General features: G+C 42.8%; 1 long non-coding RNA gene across 1 annotated transcript in view, besides 1 other annotated feature; it reads left to right on the top strand.

Moving 5' to 3' along the window:
• The window catches only part of LOC101927066 (uncharacterized), a 494,634-nt gene that overhangs the window by 195,111 nt on the left and 275,961 nt on the right, over positions 1 to 23,562 (top strand). The window lies entirely within an intron of this gene.
• Positions 18,755 to 19,362: an enhancer, noted in NCBI's record as "OCT4-NANOG hESC enhancer chr8:98244253-98244860 (GRCh37/hg19 assembly coordinates)". NCBI's record gives its function as "activates a minimal SCP1, AML or CMV promoter by ChIP-STARR-seq in naive and primed H9 embryonic stem cells {active_cell/tissue: H9 hESC(naive and primed)}" and the evidence as "EXISTENCE:reporter gene assay evidence [ECO:0000049][PMID:30033119]".

The raw sequence follows: 23,562 nt of genomic DNA, 5'->3' as shown, positions 1-23,562 counted from the left end.
CATGTTGAATTCCTCAAGCAACCTGCTGGTAAGGTGGGCCCTATTGTTTCTAAGGGCACTGACAACAGCATCTGTGTTCTCTGTGAAGGTTCTATCAAGGGTGTTCTGAAACTTCAACTCTTTTGATTAAGGTTTGGTCCCCCTCAGTTTTGGGGAGGGAGAAATGGAGCCATTGGAGAGGACGGGGATGTGCGTTGTGCCTGGCAAGTCGGAGTGGCCTAGTCCAGCCTGTGGTCGGTGAGGTACAGAGGCCCTGCAGTCCAGTCTCTGCCATGCTCCTCTCCCACAACACACTGCACCGGCCTGGCATGCCAAGAAAATTGGGCTGCCTAGAAAATTCAGACCTGCCTAGAAAATTGGGCTCATTTCTCACTGTATGGTTTCCAAGCCATGTTGGCTTTCTCTCTGAAAGAGCAGCTCTTGTACCTTCCCATTTCCAAAAGGCTTGGGAGTTCACTCCTTTCCCTCTCTTGGGCTTGAGGAGACTGTCAACACCATTTCCATTGAAGGGTACTGGGAAATAATAAAATCAGCAATAATAATTAAATAACTATAAAAGTTCCTCATTATCTGAGACTGCTTCACATCGGAAGTGATTCCACCTAAAACATTGACCAAAAAGACTGTGGTAAATAGCGAAAACAACGACAAAACCCAAAAGCAAAAAATAAACAAACAAGCACAACAAATGTTTTGTTTATGATTTTGCCTAGAAAATAAAACTAAAAACTATAAAATAAGCTTATTTTATGTTGAACAAAATTTAAGTTGTAATATCAACTATCAGCTAATTCTTAAAGAATGAATACAATAAACTTTATATGTGAAAATTTTCCAACAAAATTATGATTGTCTATACCAAATTCTTCGCATTTAACTTTTGTAGCACAATCCCTGAAAGAATAATTTTTATAAAATTCAAGTATTTTTGAATTTTTATCATTTTCTGCAAGAGCTTCTTTTAAGTCTTTGACATTAAAATCATTTTTTTTTGAAGCATCACTAACCTTACTTTTTTTCTTTCATTATTTGGGAATTGGCTACCTCTGCCCATACTTCTTGGTCAGTGGCTTAGCTGCCTGAATTAATGCAGCCTCCAACATCACTTTCACTGACCTCATGAAATCCCTCATTAATTACCAGATTTGCAATTTCATTTTGCCATATATTTGCACAGCATTTGCAAATAAGGTCAGATATTGTGGGTATCAGACCATCAGGAAGGTACAGACCTGTGCTTCTGGCAAGAAGGAGTGCTTGTGTTAATTGAAAGGAGGTTTGGAGTAGGGACCAATGTGTGAGTATTTTTGCGATATGAAACCTTCACCATCTTGTGCCATACCATATTTCAGGCCCTTGCATAATGAATGCTCCAGTGACAGGGCCTTCCTTTTATATTTGTACAGTGTTTCTAAGTTTACAAAGCACTTTGACATTTCATTTGATTCTTACTGCTGCCTATTGAGGAACCACCATTTTCCAAATGACTTTTCTGAGAGCCAGAAAGGTTAAGTGACTTGCCCAAGGTTCCAGAGCTGCTTGAGACGCAGAGCCAGGGTTGGAACTCAGGTGTGTTGGTTGTCGGTCCTGCCTCTTTCTCTGACTCATCACAGTTTACCCAAGAGGAGCCCTGAAATATGCTTAAGATGTGCCCCAGACCTTTAAAAGAATTAGATATTTCTAAAAGATACGTCAAAGTCCTCATGGTGGAAAAAAATCAGTACATCTTAGCATTCCTTGAATTTTAAGATTTGCTACTATATTTTAAATTACTTATTGTGGGCAGGTTATTTATTTTTTTTTTTTTTTTTGAGACGGAGTCTCGCTCTGTGGCCCAGGCTGGAGTGCAGTGGCGGGATCTCGGCTCACTGCAAGCTCCGCCTCCCGGGTTCACGCCATTCTCCTGCCTCAGCCTCCCAAGTAGCTGGGACTTCAGGCGCCCGCCACTACGCCCGGCTAATTTTTTGTATTTTTAGTAGAGACGGGGTTTCACCGTTTTAGCCGGGATGGTCTCGATCTCCTGACCTCGTGATCCGCCCGCCTCGGCCTCCCAAAGTGCTGGGATTACAGGTGTGAGCCACCGCGCCTGGCCCAAAGCTCATTTCTTAACGTTACCAGAATCAAAGTTAGCTGCTCTGCTTGTAGGAGAGTCTGTCCTGGGCAGAAAACTCCCTCTCTGGTCCAGAAGTGCTATTTGGCTTACCTTGGCAACATCATTTCAATTAGGGTCAACAATCCTCTTAATTATGCACTATTCCTTAAGCAACAAGGTATTGCTTCATTCATCAGAATTTTATCTCCTAGTTATACTGATGAGAGTCCCTTTGGCCTACTCCACTGAAATTATTAACAAGAATAAATCTGAGCGTTCACTATTACTGCAGTGCCATCCATTCGTTAGGTCTTGTTTTATTAGTCTCCTGCAGTTTGGAGCTGCCAGGAAGTGGGCAGTCAGCTGCCAGTGAGACTGAAATGTTACTACCAGCTAGGCAGGCTCAGTGGCTGGGCCTGCTCTGAGGCAGGCCAGGGAGGGAGGAGGTAGGCCTTTGGGAGGGCCCTGGGAGAGGCCAGGGAGGAAATCTGTTGCCCTTCATCCAATCACTTCTAGCAGGTGAAGCATTATCTGCCCCATTTCTTTCCAAGGATGTAACCAGAGAGGTCAAGGACTCCTAAGAATCACCTGGTTTATTCCTGTTCCTCTAACACGCTGGCTCCCACGTGCTGGCCTTGGACCCTGGGAGGGCTGAAGGGTTACTGCAGTAGGTCTAGGAAGCCACGAGCACATCCAGCACCACAATTTTTCAAATGTTTCCAGATGCTTCTGGGATGAATAAAATAAAAATCCAAGAGCTATTGATTCACTCTCATTGTATCAATAGCCTTGTGGGAGGCTTCTCTTCAGCTTTCAAAGACTTCTTTTCTGTGAGAACTAAGCTCGTCCCCCCAATAGAAACTGGCCCCTGGTTCCTGGCCCATGTTTTTGCCACATGAGCCCCTTCTCCCCAGTCTCAGTGAATTGGATCCAAGGCAGACGCCTTGCCTAATCTCAGCCAACTACAGCCTCCCTTTTAGAAACTTGAAATTGGAATTCAAAGATAGCTTTTGGGTGCAGGTGAGTGGCCCTGTGATAATATGTAACTGGGAACTGCGGGATGGCACCACCTCCTGCTCACCCCAATTTCAGCATGGGAAGTGGGGATGCAGGGGGAAAAGAGTGTTGCAAGTACATGAAGTAGAAACTGAGGCAATGCACAGTCAGACTCTAACTGCTCTCCAGCTCTGGCTTTTTACCTCCCAGAATTGCCTCTGAGTATCCTAGAAGTCTTTCCAATACATTAAAAATTGATCATGGTAGCTCATGCTGGTTTCCATAATTTCAACAAAAGAAAACTTTGACAAAAGTCACTTCTTGATATTATATATTTTCTCAATAATGGATATGTAAATGGTTATTGTGGGAGATTTTGATTTTTATACATGATAAGGGTGTCAGTGCTTAATAAGAATGTTTTAGAAGGTTGAGAGTCCCTGCTTTACCTAAAAATCCTCCAGAAAAGGAAATGCATCAGTTACAGAAGATAATTCATGCAAAGCACTCAGCTCAGCATCCTTCACAGATTAAGTACTCAATAAGGATTAGCAATTGTTTTCTTCACCACTTACAGACTCAGACCAATACTCACAATGACCAAGTCTGAAAAGACCTTCCTAAAGTCTTTTTTAGACTGAACTGTCATGATTTGAGCATGCCCCTCCTCATCCCAAAGATCTTTGCAGCCACAGTGTACCTGCCTGCTTTTAGGAGTAGAAAGAGCATGCACTGGAGTTGGTTGTGTATGGGACGTTGTCTCATAAGCATCACTTGGAGAATGTTTCCAATTAAAAATTCCCAGGCCCTATCCAAGACCCATCGAATAGAAGCTCCAAGGGAGGAACCTAAGAAGCTATGGCTTTAACAAATGCTCCAAGTGATTCTCATCATCAGGGAAGGGTAGGAAACACTGATACATGAGGATTATAAAACCCATCTCTAAGTGGACAAGCCACAGGTCTGGGGAGATGTCTTATATGCAAAACAAATCATACCATGCTTTTTAACCTTAGGTGCATTTCTGTTTGCACAATTACCGAGTATTCAATTGTCCATCTTACCCATCCCCTTTGCAACAGTACCAAGATTTCAATTCCATTTTCGTCTTCTTTCCCACTAAGCCCAAGTGCTGCTGGAAAGCTGACCCCCTATTACCAGGTCCAGGGTGAGCCCTGATTAAATCAAACCAATCGGGTATATTACATTTCCTGGGTCAAGTGTGGGTACATAACCCAAGCAAGTCTCATCGGGGGAGTTTTAGCACCTGTTGCTTAGAAGGTGTCTTAGTCCATTTGTGTTGTGATAACAGAGTATTTGAGGCTAGGTAATTTATATAGAAAAAAAGGTTTATTTGGTTTATGATTCTGATGGCTGGAAAATTAAAGATTGGGCATGGGCATATGACGAGGGCCTCAGGCAGCTTCTACTCATGTTGGAAGGTAAAGGGGACCTGGCCTGTGCAGAGATCTCATAATGAGAGAGGAAATAAGAGAGAATATGGGGAGGTGCTGGGTCCTTTTTAAACAACCAGCTCTTGAGGGAACTAATAGAGTAAGAATACACTTGCCCTTGAGGGAGGGCATTAATCTATTCATAAGGGATCTGCCCCCATGATTGCAGCACCTCCTATTAGCCCCCACCTCTAGCATTGTGGATCAAATTTCAACATGAGGCTTGGAGGGGACAAACATCCACACTATCGCAGAAGGGATGGTGTGGTATAAGCCTGTGAGGTGTGGAACTGCTGCAGCTATTTTGCCACTATGAGGGAAATAGCTTCAGGATGACTCTGACACTATGGTAAGCAGAGCAGATAATAGGAAATAAGACAGGCCCTTATTGACATTATTAAGATGCCAAGGCTCAGCTTACTTCTGTATTTTTCACTTATGGGTATCAAAGAGTTTCTTTTATGGTTTTAGTTACTGTGAGTTGGGTATTTATTTGCAACAAGGAGTGCTAACAGGTGTACTTTACACGTCTTAAAAAACCAATAAGTTTATTGCATGTTTTGATGCAAATTGATCAAGGCATTAAATCCTTGGCTGATCCTCAAACAAGAGGGAATGGATTTGAATTTCAGCAAGAAGGATTTGGGTTAGAAAGAAGGAAAACTTTTCTTCCCATAAAGTTTGTGAGGTATTTAAAAGGCTCATCCAGGAAAGTTTTAAGAAATTCCTATTCTAGAGATTTTTAAAGTGAGTAAATTTTCTAGGATAATTTCAGTCTTGTCCTAAAGAGCAGGGGAGGGATAGAATAATTGTCCTCATGTAGGATCTCGTCTACTCCACAATTTTATAAAATTGTCCAAACTTTATTCTGGACCTGATTCCTGATTTCAGTTATGAAATTCATCATCCTTGCTCTGCTAGAGTTTCTCAAATGACACTTCACAAACATTCTCATGGGCAGACCCACCCAGATGCCTTCTCCTGAGCTGCTGAGGAATGAAAGAGTTTGTTCTCTTCCTTGTCCTTGACTAACCAGATGTGTCACTTGGCTAGCCAGGAATATTTTTACTACAAACTATGCTGTTTCCACTGACCACAATTCCAAAGCCGTTAAGACAAAAACAGAAAAAAGACCATATTCTGGTTTGTCTGATTTTCTGATGTGAACTTGATGAGGCAGATATTATTCCAGGGCATTAAATCTTTCCCACTAAAATGTCCTACAACACCTAAAGCCTGCTTCTTTTTTCATTGAACACAGCAAGTGTGCAGTGGGGATAATGTGTCAAGAAAATGATGTTGTTGTTTTTTTTCTATACGGAGTGCCACAAGGACTAGAGTACTCTCCTTATGCTGGTATGACAGCAGTAAGGGTCTAGCCCCGAGTTCATTCCTTCATTTGACATTTATGGTGGTAGGCATGTGGTAGTTGGAGTTGAATCAGACATTGTCCCTGCCATTGACAGACTCACAGCCTAGGAACAGAGTCACATCAACAGCCGCCTAGAGCGTGAGAGGTGTGAGCAAAGCGCTGGGGGAATGAAGGGAAGGGGGCCGAGCATCTGCTAGCAGGAGGCTTCCGAGAGGAGGCCAACCTGCTTGGCTCTCAGCAGACACATTCGCTGAAGAGAACTGAAAATAACTCTTGTCTTGGAGTGAGAGCTATGACCTCTTAGTCCCAGCTCTGCTTTCTCATTTTTTGTAAATCTTATACAAGCCACTAAATTTTCCTGAGCTTGTTTCCTCAGCAGGAATGCAGAGGTCATAAACCTACCTCACAGAGCATGTGAAAGGGGTTTGTGAACCATAATGTCTGTGAATCACTGCACATGATTTCCCTCTGTGAGGCCGGAGAGGACTGCATCAGGAGCCTCCTCCAAGAACAGACTGTGGGCAGAGGGGGAAACCCCAGGTGTGAGGGAGGGGAATGTCATGGAGGAGCCAAACAGATTCTTTAGGTATATGGGCCGTTGCTGGTCTCTCTTTTCAGCTTGAAAGGGCAGAAAGCTCAGGCTATCCTAGATGATGGGGTCAACCATTTCTAACGGTGGGCGGGGGGCAAGAAAATCAAAATTCCAATTCAGCCTCCCTGGTCTAGCAGAAAGGCTCAAATTTTCTGCTTAGCTGGTTTTTCCACCCTTTGAAAGCTCAGTAATATTTGACAGAACGGGCTGCATCACCATGGAGACATGCACCTGCCAGGTGCTTTGCTGGGCAAGACAAGCAGGCATATGGATGCTGACTGCACGGCCACTTCAGAGACACCAGGAAGGCCCCAGCTTCTTACTGTCTCCAAGGCCCTCAGGTCTTGCTTTTCACCCTCCCTCCCCATTTTTTTTTTGTTTGTTTTTTGTTTGAGGTGGAGTCTCACTCTGTCGCCCAGGCTGGAGTGCAGTGGCGCGATCTCAGCTCACCGCAACCTCTGCCTCCTGGGTTCAAGCAATTCTCCTACCTCAGCCTCCTGAGTAGCTGAGACTACAGGCACCTGCCACCACACCAGGCTAATTTTTTGTATTTTTAGTAGAGATGGGCTTTCACCATGTTGGCCAGGATGGTCTCGATCTCTTGACCTTGTGATCTGCCCATCTCAGCCTCCCAAAGCGCTGGGATTACAGGCGTGAGCCACCGCGCCTGGCTCCTCCCCCTTCTTAAAACCTATTCAACAGCGTATACGTTTCCTCTAACGGGGATGAAGCCCTTCATTTCCTAATTTGCTATAAGGGCGAAGATGCCATTCCCCCTGGGGGAGAAAAGAGTGGCATCCACACAAAGCTATAATGATGTCTGTGATATCCTTTGAGAAGAGGGTTGGTAGCTAGAAGTGGGTGAAAAGAGGGCCCAGAAGTACTCAGTGTTCGGGAACCCAGAGCAAAGCCCCAATTGCAAAAGAGATGGCAGCAGAAATGCTGCTGTCAAAACGCTACTCCCTCCACAATTTTCTCTAGGTTTGGTCCTATTAATAGCACCTGAAATTTGTGACTGCTACGTGCTTTCTGTCAGAAGGCTAGAATGGTGGGGCTAATATTTTGGTTTTTAAAACAGAAGAAAGAATGTAAATTTTGGAAAATATTGGGTTTACTGTTGATCTTCATCTAATTCTGGAATAAGTTATTTGGTAGAGATTTGTAGGGCCATTTTGAAAGAAAATAGTATTCATGAGTTACAAGCAAAGGCTCAGTTAGGAATTTATAGCTTGCAGCTTACCTTCTTTCAGGCAAGTATGGTATGCAAAGGAGGCAATGAATAAGCATTTGTGAAATAAATGAAGGCAAATTTGAGGTAGTCAATAATAATAAAAATGTATCCTAAAATGGAAATGTAGAGACAAGAAAAAGAAAAAAACTGTTGGAGAAAAAGAAAAAATGGATTTTAAAAAAGAAAAAATCAGAAATAAATATTTTAGTATCTGGAATGATTGAATGACCACAAATAAACATGAGATTTAACTCCAAGATTCCTAGAAACCAAAGCAAAAAAGTAACTGTTAAGGTCTCCTATTCTCTTGATATTTGACAAAAATATAAACAAACAAACAAAAAAACATAGAATTATGCCTGAATAGATATTGAAAATATTTTTTTCTGGCATTAAATTCAGTGTGAAATTTATTGCATGAAAATTCTATTTTACAAGGAACAACAAACAACCCAGTAAGTTTCAAAAGATATAGACAAATAGACCTTTTAATACCGATTCTCTATAAAAGCGAGCACTTCATATTGAATCATAACTCACTTAAGACATTTTTGCAGGGAACTATTATAATACAGACTAGAAACATTTCTTTAGCAACCCCAAAGGAAACAAGTAAATAAATAATGTGTCGTTTGGTGCAGATCTCTCAAATATCAGATCTAGGGATGGAGTTTTAGATCCTATAACATTGACAGCAGAAATGTCTTGTTCTGTATTTTTGGTGAGGGAGAAAGCTAAATGCTTTAGAGAGCAGACATGCAGAAGCAAATTTAATATTATACTACAAAACCTTAGGAATTTGATAAAAATTATTACCCAGAGAAGGAATGTATTGTAGAAAAATAAGAGCCCAGGATACCTTTCGCATAGACTGGGTTTCAAAATCTGACTCAATGATTACTATGTGACCACCTTGGCCAAGTTACTTCTCTCAGCCTCAGGATTCTATTTGCCAAAATGTGAATAATGTGCCTTTCAAGGTTAACTGAGAATTAGAAGACATAGTGTAGTAGGTACTATTAGCTTCAGCTGCAAGTAGCAGGAAAAAACAAAATAACAGTGACTTCAATAAGGTAGAAGTATATTTTTCACTCATCTTCTAGACCAGGGACCAGACTCCTTCTAGCTTCTTGTTGTACCACGAATGGCTTCCATTCCCAAGATCACTTCATGGTCCAAAATGGCTGCTGGAGTTCCCGGATTACCTTCACATCCCAGCACACAGGCAGGAAGAAGAAAGGGAGAGGGCACGTTATTTTCTTTTAAGAACACTTTTATTTACATCCCTTTGGCCAGAATTTTGTCACAAGGTCTCACTTAGCCTCAGGGAAAGGTGAGAAACATCATCTTTGTTCAGTACAACCCAGTTAAATATGGGACACCCAGTTAAATCAGAATTTTAAGATAAATAATGAATAATTTTTTGAGCATAAGTATGTCTCATGCAATATTTGAAACATACATTTTTTTTTCATTGTTCATTTGGGATTCAAATTTAACTGGATGTCCTATATTTTATCTGGCAACACTAACTAGTTAACAGTCAAGGATCCTATTACTAATCGAGGGTGAAGGGGCACAGGGAGGAAGGGTGACCACTGAAGGACAATCAGAAGTCTCTGCCACAAAGTGAGACCCCTCAAAGTGGGTGGCAATAAATGTTGGTCCTCTCTTCCCTTTCCCTGTAAGGCAAGGCAAAACCAGAGGGTGGCTGCAGGGATAACTGCTGGTAGAGCCAACATCTGTTTTTGAAATAGAACCAATGTTCTATTTTAATGGCTAGTTTAATCACATGAGATGCATGTACTTGGTTAAGACCTCAGAGATCTCTGCTGTATGCATGAAAGAGACAACTGTGGCCTGAAAAGCAACATTAATAAAAGCACTGCTTCTTTTTAATCACAAAAATGCTTAGTCTCATCTCTGCAGAAAGTCTGTTTCTGAACACATCCTGTAAGCTAATGGACCCATCAACTGAGTTGGTTGTAAGGAAATCTTCATGTCGTGAAAGAAAGGCCTGCGGGGCATGGCCGGGGTGCAATGGACTGACTATTTGTGTTCCCCCAAAATTCATATATTGAAACCCCTAATCCAAATATGATTATATTAGGAGGTGGAACCTTTGGGAGGTAATTAAGTCTTGAGGATGGAGCCCTCAGGAATGAGATTAATGCCCTTATAAGAAGAGTCCAGGGAACTAGCTTGCTCTCTTTCCTCCATGTGAGAATACAAAAAGAAGACAGCCATCTGCAACCCAGAAGAAGGCCCTCATCAGAGCCCAACCATGTTGGCACCCTGATCTATCTCAGACCTCCAGCCTCTAAAACTGTAAAAAATACATTTATGTTGTTGATAAGTCACCCAGTCTACAGTACTTTGTTATGGCACCTGATCAGCCTAAGACAGGAAGTATTCAGTCTATTACTTACCCACTTGCTCCCCACTGCAAATATTTTCACTTTTGTATGGCAGACCTGACATTGTTCTTTCTGATTGTTGTTACCAAATGTTTTAGCTTCTTCTCAAGGCTGCTCTGAGTTCCTCACTCTAAAACCATGTCATTGGTATAATGGAGGAAGTCCCCAAATGCTGTGGAAAACAGAGCATGAGTTCATTTTAGTTAATAGCAGAAGTAAATTATTTGGGTTAAAGGTAAAATAAAGTGGGGCCAGGACATAGTCCTATTTTGTAGGATTTAGAATGAGAAGTTGCCTTATCAAAAAAATTGTTCTTATGAGCAATATTGTGTTACAGGCTTTGATGAAGGATTATTTGCCTGTAATCTACATGGATAATATCAGATCTGCCCCCTACTCAAGTTTTCAGATTGGCAATGGCCTCTGAACTGGTCTTTCTACTTCTACTCTCCCTCCAAATCCATTCTTCACAAAGCAGCAAGAGTGATCAGTGATCATCATAAGACATATCTCAGTATAGGATGGGCACAGTGGTTCACGCCTGTTATCCCAGGACTTTGAGACACCAAGGCAGGAGGATCACTTGAGGCCAGCAGTTTGAGACCAGCCAGGACAACATATCAAGACCCCGACTCTATTAAAAATGTAAAAATTAGCTATCAGTGGTGTGTGCTTGTAGTTTCAGGTACAGGAGGATTGCTTGAACCCAGGGGTTCAAGGTTACAGTGAGCTAGGATTGCACCACTGTGCTCCAGCCTGGGTTACAGAGCAAGATACTGCCTCTAAAAAAAAAAAAAAAAACCACACACACACACATACATACACACACACAAACACACACACACACATCTCAGTATAAACTCTGCCTGAGATCTCTAATGGCTTCTCATTGCTAGTAAAACTAAACCCCTTACTAGGCTGAAAAGTCCCCATCCAGTCTGATTTTCTTTTTATTTTTTGACCACACTGCAGCGGGTTGAATGGTGGCCCCAAAAATATATGTCCACCTACAAATCCCTGGAACCTGTGAATATTACCCTACATAGCAAAAATATGTGATTAAAATAAGAATCTTGACAAGAGGCACTTATCCTGGATTATTCAGGTAGCTCTAAATGCAATCACAAGCAACCTTGTAGGACAGACACACAGAGAAGAAGACACACAGAGAAGAGGAGGAGGCAATGTGACCACAGAGGTAGAGACTGGAGAGATGTGGTCACAGTCAAAGAATTTCTGAGCCACCAGCAGAGGCAAGGAACGGGTTCTCCCCTGGAGCCTTTGGAGGGAGGGCAGCCTTGTCACCTTGATTTCAGATTTCTGGCTTCCAGATCTAGGAGAGAATACATTTCTGTTGTTTTAAGCTGCCCAATTTGTGGTAATTTGTTACAGCAGCTGCAGGAAACTAATACACCTGCCATGACTGTTACAAGCCTGCTGGGTTCTTCTTGTCATTCAAGGCTCAGGTTAAATGCCACCTCCTCAGATGTGCTCACCTGATTGCCCAGTGTTAAGTCAGCTCTCCCTGACCCTTCGGTCACTCTGGGTGTTTTCAAAAGGAGGGAGTGATCAGGTAATTACATGTGACTAACAGGAGAAGCAGGACGAGTATTGAGAACTGAGGAAATAAGGCACAAAGAGGGTTAATAACTTGTCCATTGTTGCACATTAAATGGAAGGGCCAGGAACCAGATACGAGCTCCCTGACTCCAGAGCTTGTGCCCATTCTCTCCAAGCTATACTGGCTCTCGGCAAGGTGAGAGATACTGCCAAATGGTCATTTGAGCAAGAGAGCGTATATTCTTTGTCATAGTTATAAAATTGCAGAGGCCCTTGCTGCATTCCATTCCTCCTCCCCTCTTGCCTAACAGCCTCCTCCCCGTGTCATGCTTGTTGACAGAGGTAGAGGAAGCACAAGTGGAGAATGACCACTCACTTTTACCCACATCAGATAGCCATTCTGAAGGATGAAGATAGCAAAAGGGGGCTGAAGGCTTATTACACCAACAAAAGCAATGGCCCATAAGGTGTGTAATTGGACATAGACTTACACTTTGGTCTGCCACTTAGCAGTGGTAATTAATTGAAGGTTATAAGGATGTTTGATTCGGGTGTTTTCTTCTTTGTTTCAGGCAGCTAATTGCTCATGAATAAATTGCCTAAAGAGAGGCAATATTTCTTTCTTTTTTTTTTTTTTTTGGTTTTCAGCCAAGCTTTTAATAAAAAGATTATAAAATAACAGTTTCTCATCATTGTATGTGAAGACTGCATCCTTCCGAATGGAGAGATCAGTCATCCATGAATTGCTTTTCTATGACACTGGATGGCTGTGTAGCTGCAGCTCTGACTTGAATTTATACAGACTCTTGAGGGACGTACACTCAAAGTGATGAGTGACAGTGGTGGTGGCCAGTGCATAAGTGAGATCCTGATATCTTTCCCCCTTTCTGTCCTAAAATAGGACATGATCCCTGTTCTAGTTCCAGTTAAACAAAACAGCTATGACCCCCTCCCTTTCCACTCCCCCTTAAAATATTTGTGAGAATGAGCCAGTGCCCAGTTTAGGGCTCCCCCAGGGCACAGGGGGAAACTAGTGTTGGGTGGGATACAGAGAGGGGAGTCCCCTCAGTACCTGGCCCCGTGGGGCCCCATCAAGTGGAGTGAGAGAGCTCTGGGGATTGAGAGGCAATATTCTTGATCTAGGTTCTCCATGGATGGCTGTTTGACAGAGCCATTGTCAATTTTAGCTTTCATATGTCCTAAAGTTACTAAAAGTTAACATATTTTACAAATATAAAGCTCAGAAGAATGTCAAATTGAGTCTATATATTAGTAGGATATGTGTATTTTTTTATGGTAAGAGACAAGATGGCCTTGGGAGCAGAATCAGCATCAATATTTAAAGGAATGAGTTACCAGATATGCAGAGCTGACCCATAATTTGTATAGAATAGTATGAAAGGAGAGGACACAGGCTTGCTTCTCATTAAGAGATGGATTCTTAATGAGAGACAAGTCTCTATGTCTTCTTCTTTCCTTAATTCCTCCCTTTTTGAATCTAAGCTGGCCATAGTGACTTGCTTGACTAATAAAATACAGTGAAAATGATGTTCTGGGACTTCTGTGTTTAGGTCAGAGGAAGTGTTGTAGTTTCTGCCTGGGTCTCCTGGAACGTTCACTCTCAGAATGGTCCATCTTGGAACCAGGTGGCATACTGTAAGAAGCCCAGGCCACATGGAGAGGCCATAAGTAGGTGCTCCAACTGAGCTTCCCTCCCACAGCCAGTATCAGCTGCCAGCTATCTGAGTGTGCCATATAGACACGGATCCCAATCAAGCCTTCAGCTGAGTGCAGCCCCAGCTAACATCTGACTGCAACTGTAGGAGAAAGCCCAGATAAGAATCACCCAGCTGAATGAAGTCAACCCATAAAACCATGATAAATAATAAATTGCAGTTTTAAACAATTATGTTTTGGGTGGCATTCTGTGGAACTGTGGATACTTAGAACAGAATTTGGTACCTGGAGTGCTGCCATAATGAAAACTTAAAATGTGGGATGTTGGCTTTGGGGACCAAGCAGCAGGAAGAAGCTGTGAGGTCCCTGAGGAAACTATTACTGAGAACTAGAGGGAAAATGAGGACATTGTTATTGGAAGTTGGAAAAAGGCATCCTTTGTTTTGTAATGATGGATAATTTGGTATACTGTTGCTTTTGGTAATGTGAAAAACAGAAAATATATCTAGGAAATGGCAGATTTGGCTAAGGAGACTTCCAGGCAGAATGCTAAACATGCCTAATGGTTTCTCTTAGGCAAGTATGGTAAAGTATGAATATAGGGAAGTGAACTCCCCTCTTCCATAATGAACTATTCGGTTTCAAGCAAAACTTAGATGGAATATAAGAAGCCAGACTTGCTGGGTTTAGAAATAAAGCTGTTTTCCATTCCAAGCCTCTCCAGTTGGAAAAAAAGTTCTCAAAGTAAGACATGGTATAAGGTAATGATCATCTCAGAGATATGGCTCTAAGACGCTTGCTAAGATTTTAGAAACCTTTAAGGTGACATACTGTAAGAAGCCCAGGCCACACGGAGAGGCGAAAGTCTACTTCACAGACTTTGAAGAATTCTGAAGGGCATTGTTCCATAGCACCTAACTGTCAGCCCAAGGCAGAAAGTGGCATACCTTAAAGAGATTTGTAGGTATGTATTTGACTAATGGAGTGAACCTGAAACAGTCTTTAGGAAACTTACAAAAAATTTAAGAGAATTGTACATGCGAAAGCACCATCAGCCTGAACTAAACAGGAAAGAGACAGTTCAAACTGCAGAGAGCCTTATATGGGTAGGAAGTAGGACAAGAAGGCTACTAAGCTGCAAACATGGCCATTTCTTATGGAAAAGGAAGAATGATTCAGAGAGCAGAATCAAAATCCCACTAGGAGTGGGGAGCCAAGAGCTACAATCATTCCCAGGGAGGCACAACTGGGAACTCACTAATCAAGGATCTGGCAACATGCACCTGGCAGCAGTTTAGAATTGCTATGGATCAGTGACTGCGATGTGCCTCCAGTTTCTTTCCCTTTCGAATGAAAGCTTTAGTGAAGTTATCCTATCTCTGTATCACCACTGTATTTATGTGTGTGGGACAGATAACTTGTCTCTTCATCTAACAGGTCTTCAGATTGACAGAGCTGTACTCAGGGAACTATACCCCAAGGAGGCTCATCTGCATCAAGATCTGACTTAGATGATAAAATCCTGGACCTCAAGCTTGAGTGGATGCCATAATGGGATGAGACTTTTGGGTCTTAGGAGGAGACACGTGTATTTACCATGTGGGAGGAATGTAAATAATATGCAATCAGAGAGCAGACAGTGACAAAGATGACTGCAAATTCTTTGACCCTCTTCCTATTAAGAGTTATTGTCTTATCTCCCTCCTCTTGAATCCAAGCTGGCCCTGCGGAATTGCTTGACCAATAGAATACACAGGAAGTGAAGTTTGGGACTTGTGAGACTAGGGCATTAGAAGCCTTGCAGTTCCTGCCTGGATCTCTTGAAAAGTTTTCTCTTAGAATACTCCTTTTTAGAATCCCACTATCCTGTGGATTCTAAATTCTGTGAGAAGCACAAACCACACAGACTACATATAAATGCTCAATCAGTAGCCCCAGAAGAACTCCCAGTCCTCAGTGAACATTGACTGGTGGCCATATGATTTGTCATCTCGGACATCCAGCCCAGTTCAGCTTTCAGGTGACTGCAGCCCCAGCTGCCATCTGACTGCATCTGCGTGAGAGACTATAGGTGAAAACTTCCCACCTGACCCAGTCAATCCACAGAACCATGAGAGATCATAGTAAATTGTTTTAAGCCATTAAATTTTGATGATGGTTTGTTATGTAACAAGAGATAACCAGATAAGGTTAAATCTTAGAGGTCAACAGTCATGGTTTCAAATCTCAAGTTCATCATTTATCAACTATGTGATTGTGGGCAAGTCACCTAAAATATCTGAGCTTCATTTTCCTCATCTATAAAATGGGAATCAAAACAGAACCCACCTAATGGGTTTGTTATGGGAATTAAAAGAGAGAATGTATGAAAAGCGACAATATAGTGACAGAAAGTGGGTCAGTAGGTAGTTACTATGGTTAGTAAACCAGTGTGAGTCATCTGCTTTTGTTGAAAGGTAGATGAGATGCTTGTGGCCATGTGGGAAGAATTAATTTAAGAATCTGGTCATTTTACTAAGGACCTGAGAGTAAGGTTAGGTCATTAGCATCTTTGTATTTGCTGTCCATTTTTCTATAATGGACTATAGGGGATTTTGATTCATGGGGGAAATGTTCTGAAAAAATCCTGGGCTCAAAAGAAATAGAAACACTTGGCCTTTTAAAATGGGGCTGTTATGGTTCCATAGACGGCACGTACCACCTCCACATGCGCTGAGCAGGCCTAGCTCACTAAGGTCATAGTGAGCAGGTGAGCAGACCCAGCCCTTGTTACAGTGAGACCAGAGGCACTAGCCTAGAGAGAAGGAGCAGGGGCTCTGAAGCCCCCTGGAGGCCTAAGATGCTGCTGCTGTCCACTGTATGTGCATGTGGATTGGTGAGTGGGTGCTGGAATTCCACATGGGGTGAGGGCAAACTTAAAGAGGCTAGACCCCAGCTGAGAGGTTTAAAGGAATGTCTTGATGTTCAGCACATCACCATACTGATGTGCTCAGTGAGCTTTGTCACCCATTCATTTATTTATATAGGCATTCACTCATTCAACAACCATTTATTGCATGCCTCTATGCACCAGGCCCTGTGCTATGCTCTGGGGACGCACGACACTTAAGAGACGGTTCCTCCCCTGTGATCATGAGGGGCTCATGAACCAGCAGGGGAGACAGACAGGTAAACAGGAAGTATGGCTAGGGGGTAAGTACCATAGTAGAGGGCGACATGGGAGTGCAGAGGAGGGGCTCCAACTCTGGCATCAACCTACTCCACCTTGGGAAAAAGTTCTAAACAGGGAAGCGAGTGAGTCATGAGCTGCATCTGGAAAAAGGGATAGGCTTGGGATTGACCTAGTGAACTGTAGGCAAAAGCCACCGACCAGAGGCACCGAAGGACAGGGCCACACTGGCATCTAGGGGCCATAGACTGGCACACTCTCAGGCAGCCCTGGAATCTGGTGAGTCTGTTCCACAACTCCCATGGGGCCTGCAGAGCAAGTGTCTCTCACAGGCACAGATTAAAGCAAAACATCTCAACTATGTCTTGGTTTTGGCTCCACAGATGACTTCTGTGTGGGCGAATCTTCTTAATGTGTTCTCTTACTTTTTATTGTCCATGCTGTAAAACGTTAAAAAAAAAAAAAAAAAAGCTAAAATAAACTTCCAGAGTTCAAAATGGCAGACTGTGACTAGGGCCAATGTCCTTTTCCTTCCAATGTTGGTTTGTCTGCCAAGTGATCTCATACTTGCTTGGTGAGGCTCTGCCTCCTCGACTCCTATCTTCTCTTTCCTCCACCTCCCCATTCCCGGCCACATGAGGTTCTCATCAGCATCATTGTGGTCAAAGGACTAGGCCCTGGGGTGCAGTCTGCCCTGACTCTCTTTGGGGCTTGGCTGAGGGAATTTACTTGTATCCTGCTTTAGAAGCTGAATTGCCTACAGAGGATTGGGACCCAACATGACATTTTCTGTCAGTGACAGTATAGAGCTCTCTATTTCCTTATCCAACTGATTGTTTAGGACTAAGTTAGGAACTGCTTTCTCCCTGGAGTAATCGCACAACATGGGCCAGCCATGGTCAAGTACAATCTGAGTGTAATGTTCATCAGCATCAGTTGGTGAGGGTCCTAGTTCTAGACTGAGAGCTCCTTCAGGGGAGGAAGCAGACTTTTGCCAATTTCCCAACACTAGCCAGCTCTGTGACATCTGGAAGGGGCTCAGTGGCAGTTGTTGAATTTAATCTGGATACCACCCAGGCAGGCAACAACCCTCTGGTTCACCTTATTATGAGAGAGGCAGTCTCTTCTACAACCAAATACTAATAATGATAATGGTAACAAAACACTATTACTATTTATTGAGCCCTGATGCTTTGTCAGATACTAGGATAGGCACTTTATATCCTTTACCTGATTTGAGAGCCAGAATCTCTGGGTGTATAGGTTTCACCGTCCTCGTTTTACTGATGAAGAAATGAAATCTCAGAGAGGGTAGGCAGTTTGCAACAGCCTGGTTGTTGGGGCTCAGAATCTTGGACAGTCCATTATGAAGACCCTGACTCTTTTTTATTTTTGCTTTTTTTGAGACGGAGTTTTACTCTTGTGGCCCAGGCTGGAGTGCAATGGCATGATCTTGGCTCACTGCAACCTCCACCTCCCGGGTTCAAGCGATTCTCCTGCTTCAGCCTCCCGAGTAGCTGGGATTACAGGCATGCGCCACCACACCTGGCTAATTTTGTATTTTTACTAGAGATGGGGTTTCTCCAGGTTGGTCAGGCTGGTCTTGAACTCCCGACCTCAGGTGATCCACCCGCCTCAGCCTCCCAAAGTGCTGGGATTACAGGACCTTGACTGTTATGCGTGATGTTTTGTTGTAAATGACTGCGCTAACACTGGTGGAAAGACCTAACCCTGCAGAATTCCCCAGGTACCAGGCAGCTGGGGGACAAATTTATACTCAAGGTTCCTCTCAGGCATCGCCTTTGTCTAGGGCAGACGTCTAACTCTGTCTCCTTATGGAGGACTGAGGGAGAAGCAGGAATCAGGCTTATGCAGTCGAAGGCTCAGTTTTAGTGCCCAAGCAGCAAAGAGATAAATGCCATCCTAATTCCCACTTAAAGTAAGCAGACAAGCCCTGGGGCTCACATGGACAGGAGGAAGCTGAGGGATTCAGTAAGTCTGTTTATTTTGGTTTGTATTTGACCTTGCATTACATTCACCAAGCAACTCCCAGTGAATGCAGAAACCTTTCCTCTGCCTCGGGAACATTTCCGTACAAACAGGAACACAGCACAGATGACAAAAATTAAGATGTACTCTCCAGCTTGCCTTGCTGTATTATTTAAAACAATTACTGTATGATTTTCCTTTCACATAGCCATGGAAACCCTGCTGAAAGGATTTAATACAATTTATTGTGTGAAGCTTAAGAAGAAATCTGTTTCCCCGGTGCTGGAAAACAAAGCAAGTCAGTTTCTCCTCACTTCCTACAAGGTGTGATGGACGCAAATTGTGGACCGGTGACCTCACCCAGCAGGGACTGAGCTTTCTGGGAAAGCATTCTGGAGATAAGTGGACCTGTTTCTTTTAGAGGCAGCGAAAAACAAAGCCGGTGCCAGAGGAATGATAATCTCCTTTGATGTGCCCGGAACTGCTTGACTGTTTCAGAAAGGGAAGCACAGCTCTGAGTGGCAGTACTACAATGCCTTTCAGTAAACACAATAGACAAATTTCCCTGCCAGGTTACCCCAGGAGCCTCTCCACTCACAGGATCCTCTTATAGGTATCTTGGTGTCAGCGATGGGATCTTAGGAAGGAGAGTCGCTTGACACCATGCTCTGATGAGAGGGTGGGCTCACTTTAGAGCCTATTAGTACCAATGGCACAGCTCAACCCTATCTGCCTGTTAGAAACTCCTAAGGAGCTTCAGAAAACATGGAAGCCTAATTCCCAGAACTAATTGATTATATTGGAACCTGTATTTTAAACAGCTCTCCAGATAATGATTATGTGCAGCTAGGGTTGAGATCCACTGCTCTGGGACTTGAACTTCTTTAGGCTGAACTCTTTGTCTGTTTACTTTCTGATTCTCAGCTAGAGACCCAGGGCCTGATGATCTGTAAACCTAAAAAGGCTGCTGTAGCACAAAACTCATCTTTGCAGCTCAGCTCTTCATCCCTAAATTCAGTGGGTGAAGGGAAGAATATTAAATTGCAGAAGAATTCCCCAAAATTGGGGAAGCTGGATAAAGCGTTCACTGGACCTCTCTGCACTGTTTTTGCAACTTCCTGTAAGTCTATAAAAATTTCTAAACAAAACATTTTTAAAAATTGCAGCTGAAGACTTGAATTCAAATTCTGGATTGTTACTTATTAGGTATGGGACTTAGGGAAATAAAAGACCCTCTGGGCCTTTTCCTTTGGAAGATAGGACAATTATTTCTATTTATTACATGATCAAATGAGAAAATAAAATTCTAGACCTAGATTTAGCTGGGGTCTCTTTGCCCCTTAAGGGGTAAAAGGAGATTGTTCAAACTCTCTGAGTCCATTTTCTGCTGCTATAACAGAATTCCTGAGAATAGGTAATTTGTAAAGAAAAGAAATTCAGTTCTCACAGTTCTGGAAGCTGAGAAGTCCAAAATCAAGGAACCAGTAGGGTTGGTATCTGCTAAGGACCTGGTCTCCATTTCCAACATGGTACCTTGAATTCTGCATCCTTCAGGAGGGATAAACGCTGTTCCTCACCTGGTAGAAGAGTGGAAGAGAGCCAACACACTTTCTCAACTCCCTCAAGACTCCCCAGCCACTGTCTTTTTAAAATGGTAGCTATGATTTATTGAGTGCTGATTACATGGCAACAGCTGTGTTAGGTTCCTTACATATATCACATTAATCTTGCAAGGAAGAAAGTGTTAGATCTGTGATGGAAACTGAGGCTCAGAGAGGTTGAGGAATTTGCCCAAATTAACACAGAAAGTGTCAGAGGTAGGCTCCAAAACCTATGTTTTTTCCATACTTCAGGCTACAGATGGCAGAACTAATAAACAGTTTTTGCTATCAAAAGAACAGACCAAACAAAAGTTAAGTTTATGAGAATTGTTGAGTGACCTCTATATATGGTTATGTCTGCTCTCTAAGCACCCCTGTGCTCATGTAAGAATAACTACCTCAAAGTAGTGGATATCTGCATATTGCCTGGAATGGTGCTGGGTACACAACACAGTTGGTGCTTGACGAATGCAGGTGTTGGTTGTAGTGCTGGCAGTCTTTGTTTGGTATGGTGGGGGGGGTGGTAAGCTAGTCCCATTACGTGATGTGGATATATTGTGCAAACCCTTTTTATGGTGGGATTAATCCATTCACAAAGACAGAGCTTTCATGGCCTAAACGTCTCCCAAAAGGCCCCACCTCCCAATGCTGTTCCATTGGGGATTAAGTTTCAACATGAGTTTTGGAGGGGATAAAAACATTCAAACTATTGCACCCTTGAACTACAGGTTATGGAACTTCCAACTACTTCCTCCAGAGTCACAGGAATTTTGGGGTAAATTACATGCTTGTGGTCGGTCACCTTGGGTTTTGAGCTCCTTCTTCCACTAAATTAATCAATTTACGTATTGTCTCACCCAAATATGGTGCCCAAGCAGCAAAGAGATAAATGCCACAAGGACAGAGGAGGAGGCTGAGGGATTCGGTAGGTCTGTTTATTTCAGTCTATGTTTGACCTTGCACTACATTTGCCAAGTAACTCAGTTGCTAACTTTCCTGAAACAAACCTCTCCCACAGGCATTTTTTGTGTGTAGGTGACATTACTGAAGGCTTGGAAAGATGAAAGGAATTGTACCATAGCATCAGAAACTGACTCAAACACAGTGTCATCCAATTCTGCTTCGAAAGGTTCCTTGGACCCCTTCATGTTGCTTGGTCCTCAACTCTTCTGTTCCCATCTTCCCTCCTGTCTTTTTCATTCACTCCCCCGCCCCCTGGTTTCTGCCCATTTCTTTCTTTCTCTTTTTTTAATGTTGACTTTTATTTTAGATACAGGGGGTACATGTGCAGGTTTGTTATATAGGTATAATGCACCCAGGTAGGGAGCATAGTACTCAATAAGTAGTTTTTCAACCCATACCCCCTCCCTCCCTCCCATCTGTAGTAGTCTGCAGTGTCTATTGTTCCCACGTTTGTGTCCATGTGTGCTCAATGTTTAGCTCCCACTTATAAGTGAGAACATGCAGTATTTTGTTTTCTGCTCCTGCATTAATTAGTTAGGATTATGGCCTCCAGCTCCATCCATGTTGCTGAAAGGACATGATTTCATCCTTTTTTGTGGCTGCATAGTATTTCATGGTATATATGTACTACATTTTCTTTATCCAATCCACCACTGATGGGCACCTAGGTTGATTCCATGTCTTTGCTATTGTGAATAGCTAGGTGATAGACATAGGAGTGCATGTGTCTTTTGGCAGAATTATCTATTCTGGAGGGGTGTATACCCAGAAATGTGATTGCTGAATCAAATGGTAGCTCTAAGTTTTTTGAGAAATCTCTAAACTGCTTTCCATAGCGACTGAACTAGTTTACATTTCCACCAACAGTGTGTAAGTGTTCCTTCTTCTCCATAGCTTTGCCAGCATCTGTTGTTTTTTGACTTCTTAGTGATAGCCATTCTAACTGGTATGAGATGGTATCTCATTGTGGTTTTGATTTGCATTTCTCTGATTAGTGATGATGAGCATTTTTAAATATGTTTGTTGGTCACTTATGTTTCTAGTGTGGACCACTTTAGCTATTTCCTTTGTTTCCTTGGCTCTCATCTTTCCTCCAGGAAATTTATCAAAATATTTTCTGATCTATCCAGCCCTTCTAAAGCTCCATGGAACTTTAGTTGGTCAACAAAAGCCAGCCCCCAACTCCAATCTAGATGCGATGGTCACAGCCAGCTCAAGCTTGCTGTCCACTGCACGGCCTTATACCATGTCACCACCAGCCCTGTGGAAGTCCCAGAGAGTCAGAGATGAGAGCACTTGTAACTCAAACTTTCACTGATTTTCCAGGCTTAAATCTGGAGCCTACATTCTGGACTTTGGGAATTTAAAAATCTAACATTTTTGGAAAGAAAGGGTGTATAGAGGCTTCTTATACCTTGAATAAAAAATGGCATTTTGGAATGTAAGCAAGTGAGACTCCTAAGAATTAAATTTCGTCAGAAATACACAAATTTACAAAAAAAAAAAAAAAAAAAAGAAGAAGAAGAAGAAGAAAAATGCACTAGGCAGAGTGCCCCCTGCCAAACCTCACTCATTCAAGAGGAATTTGGAGTGATGTTGCTGCCCATAAACCTCCTGTCTACCTGGAGAGGGCCTGGGCTGGTATTCTGCAAACAGTTCCTTGTTTGTTCTCCTTCCTGTGGGTCTGTGTGCACTCAGATGATGGGAATCAGATTTAAATGGATAACTAGAAGTTGGAAGGAATCTGATTGGTTCTCACTGCCCAGGAGTAGCTCCATGATATGGTTTGGCTGTGCCCCTACCCAAATCTCATTTTGAATTTTAGCTCCCATAATTCCCACATGTTCTGGGAAAGACCTGGTGGGAGATAATTGAATCATGGGGGTGGTTTCCCCCATACTGTTCTCATGGTAGTGAATAAGTCTCAGGAGATAGGGTGGTTTTATAAGGGGTTTCCCCTTTCAGTTGGCTCTCATTCTGTCTTGACTGCTGCCATGTAAGACATGCCTTTTGCCTTCTGCCATGATTGTGAGGCCTCCCTAGCCACAAGGAACTGTGAATTCATTAAACCTCTTTTTCTTTATAAACTATCCAGTCTCAGGTATGTCTTTATTAGCAGCCTGAAAACGGACTAATACATTCCAGAAAGCCTTCCCACCTTCTTCTCCCTTGAGTGTCTACATGAGATGCAGAGTAGCTTTGTCTAAGATGGTATCCCTGAGAATTGTCTTCTCACTCAGGCAGAGTTGATTGGCTTCCCCGCTGTGCTGCCGTGGGATGCTGTGCATACCTCCATCAGAACAGACTTGACCTTCTGCTTGCAATTGTTTGCTTGCACGTTGGTTCGCTCTTTCCCCCCACCCCCTGCACTAGCTGGTGAGGTTCTTAAAGGCAGGAAACGCATCTTTCCCAACACATAACACAATCCCTGGTGCAGAGAAGACATTTG

Source organism: Homo sapiens, chromosome 8 (assembly GCF_000001405.40).
Source record: "Homo sapiens chromosome 8, GRCh38.p14 Primary Assembly".
In the NCBI taxonomy this organism is placed as follows: domain Eukaryota; kingdom Metazoa; phylum Chordata; class Mammalia; order Primates; family Hominidae; genus Homo; species Homo sapiens.
The sequence above is the reverse complement of the archived record's forward strand: the minus strand, read 5'-3'. Positions and strand labels throughout refer to the sequence as shown.